Here is a 22,076-nt window from a genome sequence, read left to right on the forward strand (position 1 = left end):
ACATGTCTTGATTTAAAGCGTCTCACACAGTATTATAATCCAAGTATGTTTGTTCTAATTTTTGTATGAAAGCATCACAGAACACAAATATTAACAACAAAAACTATATATAGTACATAAAAATAAGTCAAGAGGTTGGTCTGAATGCTATCAAATAATCACAGCTCATTATCACAAGAAAAATTATAGAAAAAGGATGGCGTAGCAGATTTTTATCAGAAAGCAAAGAGCTGTATTCAGTTGATCACTAGATGGCATTACTCACCAGCAACTTTCATCCTATGTTCAGAGTCGGCTGTAAACAAATCAAGGTTCCATGTCTGAACATTCCAGTTCATCTTACTTTTGGTACAATTCCAGCTACTAAATAACACTAAGCTATTTGTGTAGATCACATACAGTGACAAATTCAAGACTCTGTGTCAGTGTGATAAATGCTTATATTTTGAGAGCAATGTATTTCTATCTTTAGATGCCAACAGTAATTAATACTCAATAACAGGGGTTGTGATCAAATAAATGCCTGCTCTGTGCCGGACACTGAGCTAGACTCGCCATGGATTATCTCGTTTACTGTGCAACACAGTCCTGTAAAGCAGGTTTATAGTATTGTTGCTGATGGAGAAACTGGGGCTCAAAGAGGACCTGCCCAAGGACACAAGAGAGCCAGTGAAGGGCAAACCCTTCAGGATTCAAGGTCAAAAGTGATACTCTCTGGCTCTGCATAACATGCAGCCTCCAACATCTCATTACTGTCAAAATTAATGTTCCAGGTTCCTTCAGGACACACCAAAAATGTTAACAGCATAATAATACCCAAAACTTCTATTTATGCAGTGGTTCCCAGTCAGGGCATCTCACGGACATTACTGCCTGGGACCCTACAATTGGGTGAGACAGGTACATGCATCTCGACAGATAAGGCCACCGACTGCCAAAGCAGTTAAGAGACTTGCCTATGTTTACTTGGCTAATCAGCAGAACCTTGTCCAGTGATATCTTAACTCTACTGGCCCTATTGCCCCCACCTGCCCTGGGAGCTGGGGGCAAATTTGTTATCAAAAAGAGTCGTAATACTTTTTTAAAAAAATCAGTTCTATCAAACAATTTAGACTTTTTCTAGAATAAATCAAAAATAGATCTTCATTTTCAAGTAAAGCCAAAAGAAAGTCTAACTCCTCCCACGTAACTGGATCTGGTTATCTCCTTACCAAACATGGCCTCTTCCGTGCCAGGCAACGCAGGGTGAGATAAGATGCTGCCGTCCTTAACAGCAGACAAAGTGCTCAAGCATTTTCCATAAAGACTGTGAATTTTTGATATCGAAAAGGTACTAAACTGGCTCTGGCAAAATAAAAGGTATTTCTGCCAAAGGGCTGTATTATTGGGATGCAAAAATATCAGTTTCTGCCACTCTTTGACCAGAGTGGAGGGCTCCCAGAACTCTGTGCAGAGCTTCAGCTTGGCCAGTTTCAGATCCACACTGCTCTGGTTGCTCTCAATGGCCCGCTCCAGAATGGCCAGCTTCTTCTCCAGAATGAGCTTCAGGGACCTCTTTCGCTTTTCCTGCTCTCCTTCCTCGATGGCATACAGGCCAGGACTTTTCATGACCTCGTCCTCAACAACAAAAACACCAATTTACAAATGCAAATGGACCTGGGAGATCCTGAGTTTCAACAATGCTTACTGATTTTCTTACCACCCCCTAGGGACTTTCTTAAACCACCAGTTTGCCACTATTTCTTTTAAAGAAAACCTGGATCCTAAAGTGCTTGTGTCACCTGATATGTTTGATCTTGTATTTATCACTTAATTATCCACTCTCTGCCATTTTAAGCTTTGATTTCTGCATCAATGACTAGCATACAATGCCTTGAAAGTCTTTTCTGAAGAGCAGACCTTACCAATAAAAGGGCCAAATGTGGCACAAAATATGGTAATTGTATGAGTGGTTCAAAATTAGGGATTCAGACAAACCTACAAGTTTTCGAAAGAGAATGCATGGCTCTAACTGGGTAATACACTGAACAGCCCTCTCTCTTTCACAATTCCGTGAGCTCTGCCTGTTCTGTTTGTACTTCAGGAATGCCTCTCCCTACCTGGTGAACATCTCTTCTTTCAAGATTGTGTTGAACTTCACCTTCTCCTTGGTAGCTCTTTCTCCTCCCTCAACACAAGCCATTCCCTCACTCCACTCCCAAGTTATACATTACAGCATTTACTACCCCAGGGTGCACTTATTCTTCGCATGTCCATTTTCCTCATTGGACTTTGAGCGAGCTCAGGGCAAAGGCTCTATTCTAATAATCTTTGTATGCCCAGTGTCAAATTTCCTCATTTGCTCAAAAATTGCTGCACAGTCCATCAGTTTGCCCAAAATCAGGAATGTCCTTCTAAGGTAAGAGAATTGGGATGGCAACACATACCTGAAAAGCAACAAATGCCATCCACAGCTGCGTATCCCGAGGATTCTCCCGCACCCTCCTGTTAAACTCCTCCACCTTGGCCTTGAGAGCCGCACTCTCGCTGTCTGGCTGTGCGTCTGGCTGCTTTGATTCCTGCTCTGGAGGACCCTGTCCTTGTAGCCAATGTGTGGTTGACTGATCATAAATCCCCAGAGGATTCAACCAGGTTGTAACAGGAGCCGCATCTTCCAAGTCCTTCACTGGTATAAAGGAGATGGGCTCAGATGAGGGAGGTTCAGTTTTACTGCTAATGGCAACTCCATCGATGTTCATTAATCCCACACTCTTCTTAGTAAAATAGCGTTCAACCTGCTTGCGTGAATGCTTCTTCTCTGTGGAAGTCCCTTCCCAAGATATGCACTGCTTCTTAGGGTTAATGCCAAGGCAGGAGTCTCCTTTCCTCTTGTATCTGATATTAGAAAAAGAAAAAAAGTTACTGAGGGAATACGTGTACTACCTCTGAATGACTAAAGGCGCATTAGACCTAAACTCTCGTTATGCAGGTTCACTGCATATAACCAAATTCACCTCACCTTCAGATTGTTTCTATTTGGAGATACACAAGGACTAGTAATTAACTTTCTTTCTGCCTGGCTTGACTTCTTCCTATAACACTTCAACTCTTCTTTAACATCTCATGAATTTAAGATCATGCCTGTCTTCTAGATCTTAGTAATTTCTATTTTCCTGGAGCCTTGTAAAGAACTGTCACACACATTATGTCATTTGATCATCACAGCCATATGTGACAGGCAAGGCAAAAATTATCATCCCTTCTCTTAACTGTTCCTAAATAAGGACACTGAGGCCTGGGAACCTGGATCATCTGTTTCCTAGACCAGTCCTGTTTTCTCAATATTTTCCTGTGTCCCTACTTAAGAAGATAACATATAGGCCTAAGATTCTTTTTTTAATCCTGAAACAAAGTATGTCAAATGAAATTACATTTGGTTATTTTCTACTCTAGAGGAAAAGAGGTTGGGTTCTAAAACGCTTTTATGGAACATGTAGGCGTCCCCAGAGTTAACAAACACATGACTACTGAATATTTGCACAGGCAAAAGCTAAGGAAAATTGTACATTTTTCTGTATGTATGTTAGCAAACAATTCAATTTTAAAAACGGGCAAAAGATCTGAACTGAAATTCCACAAAAGAAGACATGAATAGCCAATAAGCACATAAAAAAAAAAACAACTCAACATCCTTAGTCAACAAGGACATGCAAATTAAAACCACAATGAGGTACCCCACACACCAACTAGAACAGTGTTAATATTTAAAAGGCTGACAACACCAAATGTTGGTGAGTAACCTGTGGAGTAACCAGGACTCTCATCCGCTGTCAGCGGGAATGTAAACTGGTATAATCACTTTGGGAAAAGATCTGGCTGTTTCTTAAAAAATTCAACACAGACCTAACCTATGACCCAGCAATTCTATTCCTACATATTTACCCAAGAAAAAGGAAAGCACATGTCTACACAAAGACATGAGCACAAATGCTCTCGGCAGCTTTATTCCTAACAGCCAAACACTGAAAGAGTCCACGTGTCCATCAATAGAAGATGGATAAGTAAACAGAGGTACAGCCATACAATGGAATACTACCAGCAGTAAAAAGGAGCTACTGGTAAGTGCCTTATGGACGGATGATCTCAAAAACATTACACTGAGTGAAAGAAGCCAGAAGCCAGATACAAAAGAGTACACACTGTATAATTCCACTTACATGCATTTTAGAACAGGTAAAAACGAATTGAGGGTGGAAACAAGTAAGAACGGTGATTGCCTCTGGGAGAATGGGGTACAGACTTACCAGAAAAGAGCACGAGGAAACTTCTGGCGGTCAGAGTAATATTTCACATTTTAACAGAGGTTCGGGTGAGAATGAAGCTTTGTGCATTACATTGCATGTAAATTTTCAATTAAAGGAATAAAACTAAATAAATATTGACCTCTAGTTAATAATACACATGCTGAAGTATTTAGGGGGTTGTTTATTGATCTGCAGTTTACTTTGAAATGCATCAAAAAAATAGGATGGGCTGATGGATGGACACATATGACAAAACAAGTACAATACAAACTTAATGGATACAAAGTTAATGGTAGATGTAGGGGGCAGTTATACGAGCATTCACTGTAAAAATCTTTCAACTTTTGCTGTATATTAAAATTTTTTCCTAATAAAACCGGAAATGCCGTGGGGAGAAAAAGGCAGGGGAGAACTGCCTTCATCTTCTGTCAGCTCCCAGGAAGCTCCGCTCCACTTCACCTTGGTTCAGGGCCGGGCTCTCTCCCTCACCTCTGTGGCTTCTCTGCGGTCAACAGGTCCCCTCTCTAAGTGCCTCTGCCCTCCTCACTGACCAAACACAGCAAATTCCACTGTAGGGGACTATTTTCTCACACAGACATAAATATTCTCTCTCAAACCTTTTATCTAGCCTCCCTCCCAATTCTTTCAGACTATCTCATGACAGTCTCTTGCCATTCCATTTATGAGTCAAAAACAACCTTAACAAAGGTGTGATGAGATAAAATAGCACTAATGTAGGCCGGGTGTGGTGGCTTATGCCTGTAATCCCAGCACTTTGGGAGGCTGAGGCGGGTGGATCACCAGAGGTCGGGAGTTTGAGATCGGTCTGGCTAACATGGTGAAACCCCGTCTCTACTAACTATACAAAATTAGCTGGGCGTGGTGGCACACGACTGTAATCCCAGCTACTTGGGAGGCTGAGGCAGGAGAATCACTTGAACCCAGGAGGCAGAGGTTGCAGTGAGCCGGGCTCAAGCCACTGCTCTCCAGCCTGGGCAACAGAGTGAGACTTGGTCTCAAAAAAAAAAAAAATAGCACTAATGTAGTTCTAAACAAGGCTGCCATTCCCTAAGGAACAAACTTTAAGTTAAAAAGCTAGTTTTGTTCTCCTTTATCCTCTTTTAATAGTATTGATTCCTCATTAGTCTCACAAAAAATATACAGTATTTTAGATATTCATAAAATCTCTTGAAAAATGTTTACTGTTTCCTGACTTTAAACTAACAGCTGCATTTTTATAACAAATTAGATGAAAATGATAAGGGAAGGGGAAAAATGTTACTGGCCTATATTACTATCTACTTTCAGACACTATATGTGTTTCAGTATGTATATATATGTGTGTGCACATACATCCTTTTTCAAAATAGTTGATATCACATAGTTTCAGGCCTGCCTTCCTACTTTAAAGCATCTCCTCATACCATTAATCTTAGAAAATATAATTTGTATTGACTTCAAACTGTTCCATTGTATGGATGTGCCATAATTTATTTAACCATTTCCCAATCATTAGACATTTAGGTTATATCCAATTTATCACTTAGCATGAGATCTTAATAATTATACAGGACCTAGGCTATAATTTAACACAATGTTTCCCTAAATGAAGGCACTTTTGCTATAAAATCCTTATCAAATAATCAACTAACGGCCAGGCGTGGTGGCTCACATCTGTAATCCCAGCACTTTGAGAGGCCGAGGTGGGTGGATCAATTAAGGCCAGGAATTTGACACCAGCCTGGCCAACATGGTGAAACCCCATCTCTACTAAAAATACAAAATTTAGCCAGGCTGCTCTTGAACTCCTGACCTCAAGCGATCCGCCCGCCTCAGCACTTTGGGAGGCCAAGGTGGGCGGATCACAAGGTCAGGAGATTGAGACCATACTGGCTAACACGGTGAAACCCCATCTCTACTAAAAATACAGGGATTACAGGTGTGAGCCACTGCACCCAACTACAGAAAAATTTGTAGGGTTTCCCTCTGTTACCCAGGATGCAATGATGCAATATAGCTCACTGCAGTTATGCAATATAGCTCACTGCAGCCTCAAAATCCTTCAGCAGTCCTCCCACTTCAGCCTCCTGAATAGCTGGGACTTCAGGCACATGCCACCACACTCAGCTTATTTTTTGTAGAGATGCAGCCTCACTATGTTGCTCAGCCTTGTCTTGAACCCCTGGCCTGAAGCGATCCTCCTGTCTTGACCTCCCAAAGTGCTGGGACTACAGGTGTGGGTCACTGCACTTGGCCAAAAATGTTTACATAAGTCCTTAGAAGAGTGTCTGCCATATAGTAAGGGTTAGATAAGTTTAAATTATTATTTTTATCAAAGTTGGCTCCTAAACATAAGCCAACTATTTTATCTGGTGTATAGCCAAAGAAATAACAATCTATTCCAAAAATGGAGAAAAAACTGACTGAGCTGAACTTCACCATCAGACAGTATATTAGTCTTAAGGAATTTTCCAAATATAGTTTGACTCTAATTTTCAAGTTATACACTAACTTTAGAACCTAACCCCTGCCTACCACAATACTCCCATACACAGTGTCACTGCGGGATGCTCACGGGAGTAGAGGATGTGCTACTCTATACTGAACCAAATCTGACTTCCCGGAACTTCCACTCATTAGTACTGGTTCTAACTTCACAAGTCACACAAAACATTGCCAATCCAGCCTCCAAGGGACAGTCCATCCAAGCTTAAAAGACAATGATTGGGGGTGGGAGGGAGGAAAAAAAGAAAAAAAGACAATGATCATATCCCTGCTTAAGGCCAAATGCCCATCTAGTCCTCACATGACAGTGCTGGTCAAATCCTAACCGTTCACCTTCATTTCAATGTTCTCGGCGTGTCAGTGTTCCTCCTAAAGTGTGAAAATTCAGTACCTGACACAAAATTGTTAACTGCAGAACCAGTTCAAACTACTTCAGCTTTGTCAATAACAGAACAATGAGTTGTTGTTCAGTTGCAGTGGACCCACAGCTCGCAAGTCACAAGCATGCACAGATGAATCAAGCGTGCCCAATTGGTGACCCCAAAGCCAGGGAACAAAAATGTCAACCGCACAGGGAACCAAGGTACCTAAACCAAGGAGCACGGACCAAATTAAGAAGTGAGGAGAGTTGCTGCAGTATGAATTTAAGAGCCAATAACCCACAGGCCGGGCGTGGTGGCTCATGCCTGTAATCCCAGCACTTTGGGAGGCTGGGATGGGCGGATCATGAGGTCAGGAGATTGAGAACATCCTGGCTAAAACGGTGAAACTCCATCTCTACTAAAAATACAAAAATACAAAAAAACTAGCCGGGCATTTACCTTCCCAGAGTCCATGCATGTGAGTTGGGTCGCACGCATTGGCCCAAGAGAAAAAAGAAAGAAAGAATAAAAGCTGGAGAGAGGGAAGCAAATGGAAGATACAAAGTGGGATGGAAGAATTAAATCCAAAGCGCCAGGCAATCAAGATGAATGCAGGCTGAATAAATTTGGGCGAATTTTAGTGGCATACGGGAAAAAAAAAAAAATTAGCCGGGCATGGTAGCACTCGCCTGTAGTCCCAGCTATTTAGGAGACTGAGGCAGCAGAATTGTTTGAACCTGGCAGGCGGAGGTTGCAGTGAGTCGAGATAGCATCACTGCACTCCAACCTGGGCGACAGAGCAAGACTCTGTCTCAAAAAAAAAAAAAAAAAAGAACCAAGAACCCTACACTGTCTGTCTCCATAACCCAATCAAATCACGCCTCAATGCACTTTCCTATCTCCCTCACAGTTACTCTCTTCCTATAAAACACACAGACTCCATCTGGGGGAGACAGATTCAAGTGCTGCCTCCTATTGACCTTGCAATAAAGCTGTTGCTTCTCTCAAAAGCTGGTGCCATAGTATTGACTTCTATGCACTTGAGGCATTAAGCCCATTGCTCAGTGACAGTATTCCCACTGTCCTCTGACCAGCTCAGACTGCCATGGGATCAACATCTTCCCAGACCTGGACATTAACAGTTATATAGCTACTAATCCAGGCAAGATTTGTCTTGTGTAAACTTTACCAAATGGCTAGGAAATAACAATGCCCTAAGCCCTTTAGCAGTGGTATCCTTGCAGTTTAGATTAATAAGGCTGTTTCCAATTACTCTCTCCCTAAGCCTGTGCCATTCATTAGCAGAAGCTCAAGAGCCACTCTTTGTTAGTACACTCCCCTCCTTTCACCTATTAATAAATACTAACCCTTTATATTTGCACACCAATTTCCAATTCCATATCAAATATTCTGATACTTGAGCGCAAGGCATGGCAGAAGTTACAATTTCCAATTTACAAATGAAGCAACAGAGGCTCAGACAGGTCAGGTGATTTGCCTGGGACTTTATTGCTAGTAAATGGCAAAGTCACAAAGAGAACCAGAGTCCTCTGTTTCCAAATCTAGAAAACGTCCTACCACACACCCTGTCTCATCTTTCTGCATGGGTGGTGAAAGAACATTTGAAATGTGAAGTCAAAGACACGCGGGTTCAAATCCCAACCTTGCTGCTGCCTGGCTGCATGATCTTGCGCAGTTACTTAACCTCTCTGCGATTCCTTTTCCTCATTTGTAAAATGAAGAGGGTTCTCCTCGTCCTCCTCACAGAGCAGCTGTGAGGATCAGACAGGCTAACTTAAGTGAAATAACGCACACAGCACCACAGCCACTACCTCATGTCCAATCTCTGTTTGTTGACTGCCCTTTTTTTTTTTTTTTTTGAGACAGAGTCTTGCTCTGTTGCCCAGCCTGGAGTGCAGTGGCACAATCTTGGCTCACTGCAACCTCCATCTCCCAGGTTCAAGCAATCATCCTGCCTCACTCCCCTAGCAGCTGGGATTACAGGCATGTGACAACATGCCCAGCTAATTTTTGTATTTTCAGTAGAGATGGGGTTTCACCACGTTGGCCAGGCTGGTCTTGAACTCCTGACCTCAAGTGATCCCAAAGTGCTGGGATGACAGGCGTGAGCCACCATGCCTAGCCCAGCTGCCCATCTTTTACTGGGAATCTACCACATCTGGGGTAGTACCCTGTGGTGGCATGGAAAACCAAGTAATACCTCAAGGAGCATTAAGATAACTCAAAAATATATGAATACATTGAAAATATAATAGTCATTTATACTCAACCATAAAGTTTCCATTGACAGTAGGTAGATTAAATATGTACTGAATAAAACAACTGTTATTAACTCATTGGGAAGGAAATTTTAGTTGGAATTGCTTATGTGGTGAGGTATAATGTCAGGATGAGTGACAATAGGATTAAAATTTGGAGATACAGCAAAGTAATGGAAATGGACATTTATTTCACAAAGTCATTAGTCTATAAAGAATAATAATCTTCAAGATCTCCTCTTGGCTTTATATTCTAAGATTGATGATTCTCTATCTTCAATTCTCATTATCTGTAAACTATCTGGGAACAGACTGTGTGTTATTGTTCTTTATGTTCCCCACGGTTTCTCACAAAGTACTAAATGTCTAAAGCAGGGGTATCAGATATGGTTTGGCTCTGTCCCCACCCAAATCTCATCTTGAATTGTAGTTCCCATAATCCCCACGTGTTGTGGGAGGGGCTTGGTGGGAGGTAATTGAATCATGGGGGCAGGTCTTTCCTGTGCTGTTCTCGTGACAGTGAGTGTCACGAGATCTGATGGTTTTATAAAGGGCAGTTCCCCTGGTTTTATAAAGAGCAGCCACCATGTAAGACGTGCCTTTGCTCCTTCTCCACCTTCCACCATGATTGCGAGGTCTCCTCAACCACGTGGAACTGTGAGTCCATTAAAATTCTTTTTCTTTATAATTTACCCAGTCTCAGGTATTTCTTCATAATAGTATGAAAATGGGCTAATACAGTATCCAATCTTTTGGTTTCCCTGGGCCCCACTGGATGAAGAACTGTCTTGGGCCACACATAAAATACACTAATACTAATGATAGCTGATGAGTTAAAAAAAAAAATCACAAAAAAAGTCATAATGTTTTAAGAAAGTTTACAAATTTGGGTTGGACAAGTTTGGTCTAAAGGGTTTAGTAAGTACTCAAATATTTTTGATTGCCAAATTAGAGGGGAAAAGTTCAAACTCATTACTAAAGCAAATATCATCTATTTTTATGATTATCTGATGGTGTATGCCAGAAACATTTTGAAAAAGTCCTTACCACTAAATGTCATTTTTTAAATGACAGATGTGGGGAGTGGATAAATGAAAGCTTTCCAACTTTAAAAAATGACATATAGGTTAGACCAAATGGTTACCAGATAGTCTGTCACAATTAATTATTACAAGGTACTTTTGGATTCATTTATTCAACTAATACTTATTGAACGCCTACTGTGCCAGGCACTATGCAAAGCACCAGGGATAAATAAGATTAATCTGACTTGACTTCAAGTGTTAAGCCTTCATTTTAGAATAGGAGATGAGACATGTGCCTGAACAATGCAATAAATAAAACCCAACAGAACTGATGAAAGAGAGAAACAGGCAGGCAGACAGTGCCAAGAGAGTTCCGAGGAGAAAAAAGTCACTTTCCTACAGTGAAAACTGGGGGAAAACAAGGTGACTACCTTGCTATATCCCCTCGGTAGAGAGACTTGTACTCCCAGTTCGCAGGATCTGGTTTCTTATCTGTTCTGAAGGTTTCTCCCGTCACAGCCTGAATGTCCTCAAGCCAAACAAAGCGATGTCCAGTATCAGCTGCAGCATTATTTCCTTGACTGTGGGACAAAGGAAGAAGAAGAAGGGAGAGGCACTTTAAAAAATCTTCCAGTGACGCAGGTGGCATTTTCAGCAATATGAGAGTTAAACACTTCAAACTCCACATGGCATCAAACACACCTAAGCACATTAAATGTACATGTGCCACAGAGATGGAAGAGGACTCTAGCTCTGGGCAAAGAGTTTTAAAAAATAAAGCAAAACCTGTCACCACTAAATGACACTCTACCAACAAAAGAAGTCTTCCTATCTCAAAAATTAACCTGAAGAATATAGGTATACAGCAGTTCTTTTAAAATATTTCATTTAGATTACTGTAACCTGAATTTCAAATATATTTATAAACAAGGTCTTTTCCTAAAAAGTATTCCTGCTCTGAGGCACCTTAGAGGGCTAGGCAGAGGGAACTCCCACACCTCCAAAGGTGACAACACCAATAATCAAGTGTGCTGCCCTAACTTCGCCTAACTTACTTGAAAGTGCCTAGATACTTATTCCAACTCAAAACTTCTCTAAAAAGCCATGGTTCTGAACTGCTCAGCCTCCAACATCACTTAGGCTTGGTCTCAGCCTCATTTTTTTTTTTTTTTTTTTTTTTTTGAGACGGAGTCTCGCTCTGTCACCCAGGCTGGAGTGCAGTGGCGCCATCTCCGCTCACTGCAAGCTCCGCCTCCCGGATTCACGCCATTCTCCTGCCTCAGCCTCCTGAGTAGCTGGGACTACAGGTGCCCACCACCACACCTGGCTAATTTTTTGTATTTTTGGTAGACATGGGGTTTCACCATGTTAGCCAGGGTGGTCTCGATCTCCTGACCTCATGATCCACCCGCCTCGGCCTGCCAAAGTGCTGGGATTACAGGTGTGAGCCACCGTGCCCGGCTCAGCCTCATTTTTATGGTCTGGACTCTGTATTCGCTGTTTTGCTTATACATCTGGACCTCGTAAATAAAGGGCAGAATCACGAGGCTCCCCTGAAGACAAGACCCTAATGTATCTCTCTGAACCAATGTGTAGGCTGGCAGACTTTCAGCTCAGATCCAAAAGGAACCACTCCCGGGGCGTTAAGTGAGAGGGAGGGAAGGTTTCTCTGGCATCTAACATCTTCTTCCTCTAAAGAAAATCAGTTCATAATGCTGCTGACACAAGAAGGTGACAAAGTAGTCAAAACAGCCATTAACTGTTGTTCCATCTCTGCTTTTCAGCTCTGCCCAGGTACAAATAAAGATTTTGGAGGCTTCTTAATTATTCTTGGCAGGGAATATAAGGGAATGGCATTTCAGGAACACTAAGTAGCTATTCAATAAATAGTTGTTGAATGATGAGCCTCAGGTTAATGTATGGAGATTTTAACACATTTCCCAACTGCAGAGGGCTTCCTGTCTACAAAAACCATAACGGGCAATGAAAAGATGGAGAGCCTACTGCAAACTGATTGATGCATTTGAGAAATAAATGGAAAGCCAACTGGGAGAAAAAAAGGAGAAGCCAGCTGCAGACCGCCCCTGAGGAGTCAACAGGCCCTTTCCTCTCCCCTCGGCGGTACTGAGCTAAGGAAGCAGGATATGGTAGTCTGGGCTGTGTGCAAGGAAGGAGCTGCCTCCACCTGAAGGTGAGGGAAAGCTCATCCCAGAAACTCAAGGTCAATTAGTAGCTGTGGCCTCTGGGGAAGTCATTTGTCATCACCCTGAAACAGAGTCTCATAGGGTCTGCTACCCTCACGAACCCACTTTCCTGACATCACAGAAAGACTCTCACAATTCACTAATATTGTAGTCCTTGTCTATGTGGAAATAAATAATTCTTCCAGGTCACCTTCTTGGGAAGAGAATACATAAGTTAATAACAAGACAGTAAAAGAGAAGGACAAGAACAATCTTAATAAGGATATTCTATAAAATATCAATAAACTTAAAAATGCTATCTGGATCATAAAACTATCAAGAGGCTGTAAAGATTCCCTGACATGATTAAGCATAGGCTGAAATTAACTATCCTTCAAGTTCTAAAGATAGTTCCTGTGTGGTTTCAGGAAATCCTTTAAAACTCATTTTCCCCAGCTATAAAAAAGGACAAGTAGCTAGAAGTTGAGTTTTGGGAAGACGTAACAATTAAAGTAGCTTGCTTTAAAGACACAGTAAAAGGTAAGGACACCAATAACATATTCATTCATTCATGTAACAAAAACAAATTCAGTGCTTACTCTGTAATGGGCCCTGTGCACCACGTGCTGTGGGAATATGGTGGTAAGCAAGACAGGCCTGATTCCTACCCTCAAAAATTCAGTCAAATTCAGAACCTTTTTGCCGGACTGCTTTATTTTTTCCTCTAAAGAGCAAGCTTGGGGGCTGGGTGCGGTGGCTCATGGCTGTAATCCCAGCACTTTGGGAGGCAGAGGCGGGTGGATTACCTGAGGTCAGGAGATCGGAGATCGAGACCAGCCTGGCCAACATGGAAAAACCCCGTCTCTACTAAAAACACAAAAATTAGCCGGGCGTGGTGGCACATGCCTGTAATCCTAGCTACTTGGGAGGCTGAGGCAGGAGACTTGCTTGAGCCCGGGAGGCAGAGGTTGCAGTGAGCCGAGATCGTGCCACTGTACTCCAGCCTGGCCGACAGAGCAATACTCTGTCTCAAAAAAAAAAAAAAAAAAAAAAAAAAAAAGCTTGGGTTACAAAAATTAGCTGGGTGTGGTGATGCATGCCTGTAGTCCCAGCTACTTGGGAGGCTGAGGCATGAGAATCGCTTGAACCCGGGAGGCGGAGGTTGCAGTGAGGCAAGATCGTACCACTGCACTCCAGCCTGGGTGATAGAATGAGACTCTGTCTAAAAAAAGGAAACAAAAATTCCTGAAGAGTTGCAAAAACCTCAACAGCACTATTTCTTTTTTAGAGATGTTCTAGACAGGTACCTAAGTTTTCTCCCTTCTAGACCATATGAGCAAATAAAGGAGAAAGTTAAATGAGCAATAATTCAGGTAGTTTCACCATATACCACCTGTCCCACCTACACGCAAATACCCCTCTACTTAGGAAGACATTCAACTAGGCACAGAGAAAAGGCTGTATTGAGCACCTATGCTGTGGCCATTCTGTAGAATGAATTGAACAATATGCTCAAGGTAGAAAGCAGAGTAGGCCACAGTGGCTCATGCCTGTAATCCCAGCACTTTGGGAGGCTGAGGCAGGTGGATCACCTGAGGTCAGGAGTTCAAGACCTGCCTGGCCAACATGGTGAAATGCCATCTCTACTAAAAATACAAAAAATTAGCCAGGCGTGGTGGCAGACGCCTGTAATCCCAGCTACTCGGGAGGCTGAGGCAGGACAATCGCCTGAACCCAGGAGGTAAAGGTTGTGGTGAGCTGAGATCGCACCACTGCACTCCAGCGTGGGCAACTGGAGTGAAACCCCGTCTCAAAAAAAAAAAAAAAAAAAAAAGAAAGAAAGCAGAGTAAAATATGGGAGAAATAAAGCCCCCAAGGAATGGAAACACTGTAATCATGAGCTGTTTTCCACTGCCTTCGACATAGTGGTCTTAAACAAATATGAAAAAGAAAAGGAAAAGGACAAATGTAACAATTATTTAAGTGCTACGTTAATCTTAAAGTGTGTGTGATCATGTATACACACAGGAGTTGATAGGAGTGACTGAATGAAAGATATATCAAGGCAGAGAAAGAAGATGTTTCTCCTACCCAGAGTGTGGAGACCCACGGCCCTCAGAGAGGGAACCGTTATCTATGTGATAACGGCACTGACTCACAGACCCACTGTGGCACATCTGCCATCTTTTGAAAATCCCAAAGACTTTTTGTCTAAAAGAGATTCACACAATCATTACTGTGTCTAAATAACATTTCTCAAATAAAATCGTGTCCCTAATTTTTCTCCTTCTCTTTTTTAAGCTGATATAATGGTAGAGCTCTCTTCCGACTGAGTGACTAAATGGTTATTCAAATATCTAATTTGCGGCAACAATTAAGGGAGAAAAACTCAAGACTTAAAATATCATAGGTGCTTGAGAACAGCAACCTACTTCGGTTCCTCAGATTCCTTTTTACTGCCTCCAACGCCTCTGGAAGGTTTGTCCTTTTCAGAATCGGTGTCTGTCTCAGACCTGCTGCTACTCGACGGCCCATGCTTCCTCTTTGTTTTCTTATGATGCTGATGCTTCCTTTTTTTCTTTTTCTCTTTCTTCTTTTTTCTACTTGTTTGTTTGAGCTTTTTGTTAGTGTCACTTTCATCTGAAGACTCTGATTTCAGATGACTCCTGTTTGGGAAAATCAACTTTAAAATTACTTTCTAAAAAGATGTAGGAAAAATAATACTATGTAAATAAGTCAACAAATATTTAAGATGGAACTATATAAATGTTCACACAGATTTACTATTTGCCCATATATTACACAGTAACTTACTGGATTACACCTCACCTGCAAGACTTAGGAATTGGATCTAAAATAATAACAGGTGAAGAAATTCCAATTTTAATAGTTTCTAAACCTATACTTTCTTATTTATACATCTTTAAATGAAAGTAACCTACCACTTAACAAATATAGTATTTTTAAGACATTATTAAAGGTTGGCTGGGTGTGGTTACTCATGCCTATAATCCTAGCACTTTGGGAGGCCAAGGCAAGAGGACTGCTGAAGGTGCTTGGGAGTTTGAGACAAGCCTGGGCAACGTAGCAAGACCTCATCTTTATTTTAAAAATAATAATAATAATTTTCAAAAAAAATCATTATAAAAAGGTTTATTTTCAGTGCCACATATTATGTCAACATGTTGTTAATAAAAAAACCAAAACATTTAATTGTGGTCCTTGTTTTTGGAGATGACAATGAGCTCTTCTTCCTCATTACTGAAATATCTAATATCTACCAACTTCCTCTCATACATCAACTCTTCTCAATTTCCAAAGGCTTCTTACACATTTAGAGTACCGGGTTTCACAACCTATTCACCCTATTAATGAAATCTAGTCTGTATTTGTAAGACAGCTTATTTCTCAGTTCAATGATCTAAAACAAAATTCTTTCACAGCTGAGGAGAGATGTGTGCCATCTTGCTTTCCCTGACGTTTTGATGCCATTTTTAATCTTATACAAGCTCCCTCTCTATTTTTACAAAAGGGTTGAAAATGTAACTAAAAAAATACCTGAATTATGATGTTCTAAAGGTTACTAATGAGGCTAGTAAAGTTACTCGAGAATCACAATGATGCCATTTCCCTCTTGGCCTAATTACAGGCACTAACTGTGTCATGTACTTGCCACTGCAAAGCAAAGAAAAAAAAAAGAATACAAGAGGTAAGGGAAAATAGTCAAAGATCACCTTATTACTTTAAGTAAGAGTTTTACATACCTCTTTTATTAGAGTTTTCTAAGGAGCTTCATTTCAGCTAAGCTATAGACAGTAAACTGACAAAAACGAAAACACATCTGTCAAACAAAAACTACCTTGTCAGCGGTAACCCTTCAGAAACATGGGCTGGAGCTGCTTCAGTTTGTTGGCTCAGGGACGTTATGGATCCAACACAAAAGCTTGGGTTGCTCAGCCAGTCTAACTCTGCACAGGCAAAAGGAGAAAAGATCAATGAAATTAGTTCAATATGATTCTAAAGCAGGAGATCTATCCATCTTATCAGCTGACATCCTAATTCACAGCCAATGCCAGCCAGACGTTTTGAACAGTCAGTCCAAAGTCCACAGAAGCTGAACAGAATCCATGAAATTTTTATTTCACAGGGCATGGCTTTAATACCCTCTAAAATATTCTAGACCAAAATCCTTCCGTGATATCAAACTGCAGCTTAAGCAAAAGCCATGTAACAAGTACGGGCTAAAAGGCAACAAGGCATTTTGCATTCCATCCATCCACACTGTCTAATGAGTGTGAATGCTTCCAAAGCATTAGGTTTTTATGACCTCAAATTTGATTCAGACAATTCCTAAAAGTTAAAAGATCAAATCGGCTGGGTATGGTGGCTCATGCCTGTAATCCCAGCACTTTGGGAGGCTGAGGAGGGCAGATCACCTGAGGTCGGGAGTTTGACACCAGCCTGGCCAACACGGTGAAAAACCATCTCTACTAAAAATAAAAAAATTAGCCGGGTGTGGTAGCACACGCCTGTAATCCCAGCTACTCGGGAGGCTGAGGCAGGAGATTGCTTGAACCTGGGAGGCAGAGGTTGCAGTGAGCCGGTATCACGCCACTGCACTCCAGCATGGATGACAGAGTTAGACTCCATCTCAAACAAAACAAAACAAAACAAAAGCAAATCAAATCATGCATAAAAGCCCACCATGCTTAATATTATTACAGAAGATTAAGATCTTTTAAAAAATATTCCATGTTCTACCTTAGTACACTAACTTAACAAACTTTTCCTTATAATAGTACTCTTCTTTGGAAATAAAAACCTAAGATGTTAACTTTTAATGCTAAAATTATATAAATGTGAATACTGTGATGATTATCTCTAGGTGATTACATTAAATGTCTAAAGATTTTCTTCTTTCTGCTTACCCCTAATTTCTTACTTTTCTACAGTGAACGATTTCTAAATTACTTATTTTCTAACTTTTAGGAGTCTTAGCTGTGAAGGGAAGAAAAAAAACATGGGATGGCAGCAGCAAGGGAGCCCACGGGGGGTTTGTATTTTGTCCTGTTTTGTTTGGATGGGAGGCCAGAGCTTATTCATATCCTAAAGAGGAAGAACCCGTTAAATGGTTGAAGGTACAAAAGAGGAGGGTGACTGCATTTTTGAACAGTTTTATTGAGATATAATTTACATACCATAACTCAGCCATTAGTCATGTACAATTTAACAGATTTTTAGTATATTTACAGAGTTGTGTGGTCATCTTCATAACTTTAGAACATTTTCATCATCCCAAAACAAAACCTCAGACCTATTAGCAGTCCACTCCTATCACCCACCTCCTGTTTCCCTGCCCCGCCCACCTCACCCCTAGCCAAACACTAACCTGCTTTCTATCTCTCTAGATTTGCCTATTTTGGACATTTAATATAAATAAGCTCATATAATATACGTGGTCTTTTGTAACTTACCACAATGTTTTCAAGGTTCATCCATGCTGTAGTGTGTATCACTACCTCATTCGTTTTTATTGTCAAATATCTCATTTTATGGATTTACCACATTTTACCTGTCCATTAGTTGATGAACACTTGGGTTATTTCTTCTTTTTAGCTAATATGAATACTACTACTCTGAATATTCATGTACAAGTTTTCATATGGACACATTTTCATTTCTCCTGAGTGGATACCTAGGAGCGGAATTGCTGGGTGATATGGTAACTCATATTTAACATTTTGAGGAAATGCCAGATTGTTTTCCAAAGTAGCTGTACCATTTTAGATTCCCAATAACAATGTATAAGAATTCCAGTTTCTCCATATCCTTTTTTGTCATATTATCTTTTTTATTATAGTCACCCTAGTGGGTATGATGTGTCATCTTGCTGTAGTTTTGATTTCCATTTCCCTAATGACTAATGATGCTGAACATCTTTTCATGTGTTTATTAGCCATTCACAGATCTTCTTTGCAGAAGTTCTTTATTCTGGGTACTAGCTCCTTAAGTAACTGTATTAGTCCGTTCTCACACTGCTATAAAGAAATACCCAAGACTGGGTAATTTATAAAGGAAAGAGGTTTAATTGACTCGTAGTTCCACATAGCTGGGGAGGCCTCAGGAAACTTACAATCATGGTGGAAGGTGAAGAGGAAGCAAGGACCTTCTTGATGTGGTGGCAACAGAGGAAAGAGTAAAGAGCAAAGGGGGAAGAGCCCCTTATAAAACCATCAGATCTCATGAGAACTCACTCACTATCGTGAGAACAGCATGGGGCGAACTGCCCCCAGGATCCAATCACCTCCCACCAGTTCCTCCCTTGACACATGGGGATTATAGGGATTACAATTCAAGATGAGATTTGCAGGGGCACACAGAGCCAAACCATATCAGTATTTGCATCTTAGTATGGAGGAGATACCATAATGTATGCTTCCTGACAACAGGTACTGTTTTAATCACTGGCTTATAGTAAGTGTTCAACAAATACTTGTGAGAAAGAAGGAAAAGAGGAAGGAAGGAAAATCCCAAAGAAAGAAAGGCATATTAAACAGCACAGAAAAAAGGGAAAGAAGTGACAGGTTCCAACTTAAGTGCCTACAGCAGGCCAAACACCAGGCTAAGAACTTACATCCTTTTCATCTTTTAATCCTCACAACAAGGCTCTATGGGAGGTATTATGATCACCATTTTATAGAAGAGGAAACTAAGACTCAAAGGGGTTAAGTAATTAGTAATGTCATACCTAGTAAATGTTAAACAACTGCTCATGCAACCTTCTACTCTCTTTTTCCTTCTGAGGTTGGTTCCCTTCATTTGGGCCTAATTCCTGGCAAAAGATATGTGAAACTAGTTCCTGTTGCTCACTGAGATCAAAATTATTTCCACAAAAATCAGATTCTATCATGAAAAAGTGGAAAAAGATGGAACAAACAGTATTCAGGAAAAGATGCTCTCAAACAATTCCAGTATATTTCTATATAAATATTCTAGATAGTGATGACAGCTGGAAGAAAATGTAAAGAAATACAGACATCACAACATACAGTGTGTGACTCTTCAAAGTCCTTCAGAAGACACAAGAAAGGCTTTTTAAATTTGAGAGATGGGGTCTTGCTGTGTTGCCCAGGATGGCCTCAAACTCCTACACTCAAGCGATCCTCCTGCTTCAGCCTCCCAAGCAGCTGGGACTATAGGCGTGCCACCACTGTGCCAGGCTTTTGAGGATACAATTGAGGCTTTGCTGTATGGCACTACTGTGGGGGAAAAAAATTCAGAAAGAAAGAAAACTTGGCCAGTATATCTATTATACTAGCACTTTGGGAAGCTGAGAAGGGAGGACCACTGGAGCCCAGGAGTTCAAACGAGCCTGGGCAACATAAGCAAGACCCCAGCTCTATTAAAAAAAAAAAAAAAAAAAGAAAAGAAAAAAAGAAAGAAAGCTCTTGGGTTTTGAACATGAATCATCATGGATCCTCTGTGACCTTCATGCCAATCAAATGACCTCCTGTGGAGCAAAAGGTATTTTCATCTGACAAGAAGCTCTGTTTTGCTTTATTTTTTGATAGCATATTAGCAGTGCACATGCAGGGAATACTAGAAGTAATAATCACTGTATGGTAGGCTTGGAAAGATTTTGGAAGTCCTCTAGTCCATGGACTTCCAAACTTTTCTTAGCCAAGGAACTCACTTCAAACAGAATCTTCCACAGAAGTCCAACATGAAGAACAGAAAAGGCAGGGATGCTCTCTAGTTGGGAGTTCAGAGGGAGGGGCTGGGTCTGAGATGGCTCTTCAGAGCACAGCCTGGACACCACCTCCTCCCCTATAGACCAACAGCTGGAGGCCCAGCTGTGGCCAAGGGCAAGCATCTGAACCTGAATCTGTGACTCTTCATCCAGTTCTCTCCACCCCACGCCACGGAGCTTCTCTTCACTTCCTCAACTAAGGAGGCTGGTTCTCCTAAAGTCTCCCTGCAATTAGTACACGGGGCTCTTACGGCAATCTTCACATTGTAATCTCATTATCTTCCCACTATACTCTAAGCCAAGGGTCAAAAACTCAAATCCTTATAGGGACCAGATTAGTAATGACTACTGTGATACTACAGAAGTGGCAAAAGAAAAAATAAACACCAACTAGCTTACAACTCTTATATCCCAGTTTCTAGCTCCCTCCCCTCCTCCCACCTGTCACTTCCCAAACTCCATGAGGGCAGGGCCATGACTATTCACTACTGTATTCCCAACTCCTAGCACAGTGCCTTGGTACAAAGCAAATGGACTCAATAAATACCTGTTGAATAAATAAAATGAATGAGGATATGCACCATATCTTTGCATGTTTATACCCCCAACACCTAATCAAATGAACTGAAGAAATTAGAAATCTTCAAAAAAAAATCCATTATCTAGGTATAAAGTACAACTAGTGTAATTCTTCCTTTCTTCATTGTAAATGTATATTTAATCATTACATAAGTTAATGAATACCAACTACACACCCAGGCACAGGTCTAGGTACTGGGGGTATAGTGGGGAACAAGAAAGGTTCTGCTCACATGGAGTTTATAATTATAACCTTCACTGTCAAATAAAAACTTGCATTGTTAAATTCAATTTTAATTCAACAGAATTCTGGAGAGAGTTATCTGAGATGAAAAGATGCTTTATTAATCAGACTGCAAAGTCATTTTCAACAGTTACATCCTCACATAATTTACATACTTGATAGATATAAAATGTGTACATAGATAATTGTGCCAATACTAAGCAAGATGTAACATTTATAGAGAAGACCAGCAGCACACCAAATGCCTACGGTTTAAGAAAGAGAATCCCACTGGCTGACAAGGCTTTTGTCCTTGCAGGTTAGTAAATTACGAGTTGGAATGTGCCTGGAAATTAACACTCTGCCATACATTGTATTATGCATACACACCAAGAAATGTGGAAACATCAGGCAGAAAAACCACTTTAGAACTACCGCCTAACAAAAATAGGCAGGTGTCTGGTAGAAATGTAGCATGTATAAATTTTCAGGGTAATTTAACAGAAAATAATATAATGAATCATCGCTGAATAATTTAAGCTCAAATACTTTTTATGAACATTTATTATGTAACCCTATTTCTCTACCACTAGTAAAAATGCTTTAATTTAATTCTATTACACATAGAGGGAGGAAGGAATTGCCATGAAAAGATTTGAACTTTAAAATATATTTTTAACTATAATTGGATAAAATATCCAAGTTCTACATCCATTCCCCTTCTATTATAATGAAATAGCACTGATTACTAGTTTGTTTAAGTGAACTCAGAGGTAAGTGCTCCTCCTGAGATGGTAATTCAAAAAACATTTCTAGGGCCAAGTGTATAAATAAAGTAGTGTATATATTATGGAAGAAGATTTGTTCCTTTAAAATGAGTAAGTCTA

At 40.7% G+C, this 22,076-nt stretch overlaps 1 protein-coding gene across 1 annotated transcript in view, besides 1 other annotated feature; it reads right to left on the reverse strand.

The window, feature by feature from the left end:
- The window catches only part of NRDE2 (NRDE-2, necessary for RNA interference, domain containing), a 64,082-nt gene that overhangs the window by 33,649 nt on the left and 8,357 nt on the right, over positions 1-22,076 (reverse strand). Inside the window, exons 2-6 of the mRNA NM_017970.4 lie at positions 16,497-16,605; positions 15,070-15,303; positions 10,886-11,035; positions 2,427-2,874; positions 1,212-1,617 (exon numbers count right to left, since the gene is read on the reverse strand). Coding sequence (NP_060440.2) covers positions 1,212-1,617; positions 2,427-2,874; positions 10,886-11,035; positions 15,070-15,303; positions 16,497-16,605 — 1,347 coding nt within the window. The remainder of the gene's footprint in view (positions 1-1,211; positions 1,618-2,426; positions 2,875-10,885; positions 11,036-15,069; positions 15,304-16,496; positions 16,606-22,076) is intronic.
- Positions 1,297-1,591: a silencer, noted in NCBI's record as "tiled region #379; HepG2 Repressive non-DNase unmatched - State 14:Gen5'". NCBI's record gives its function as "represses a minimal TATA promoter and a strong SV40 promoter by Sharpr-MPRA in HepG2 cells {active_cell/tissue: HepG2}" and the evidence as "EXISTENCE:reporter gene assay evidence [ECO:0000049][PMID:27701403]".

The sequence above is a fragment of the Homo sapiens genome, chromosome 14 (genome assembly GCF_000001405.40).
Source record: "Homo sapiens chromosome 14, GRCh38.p14 Primary Assembly".
In the NCBI taxonomy this organism is placed as follows: Eukaryota; Metazoa; Chordata; class Mammalia; order Primates; family Hominidae; genus Homo; species Homo sapiens.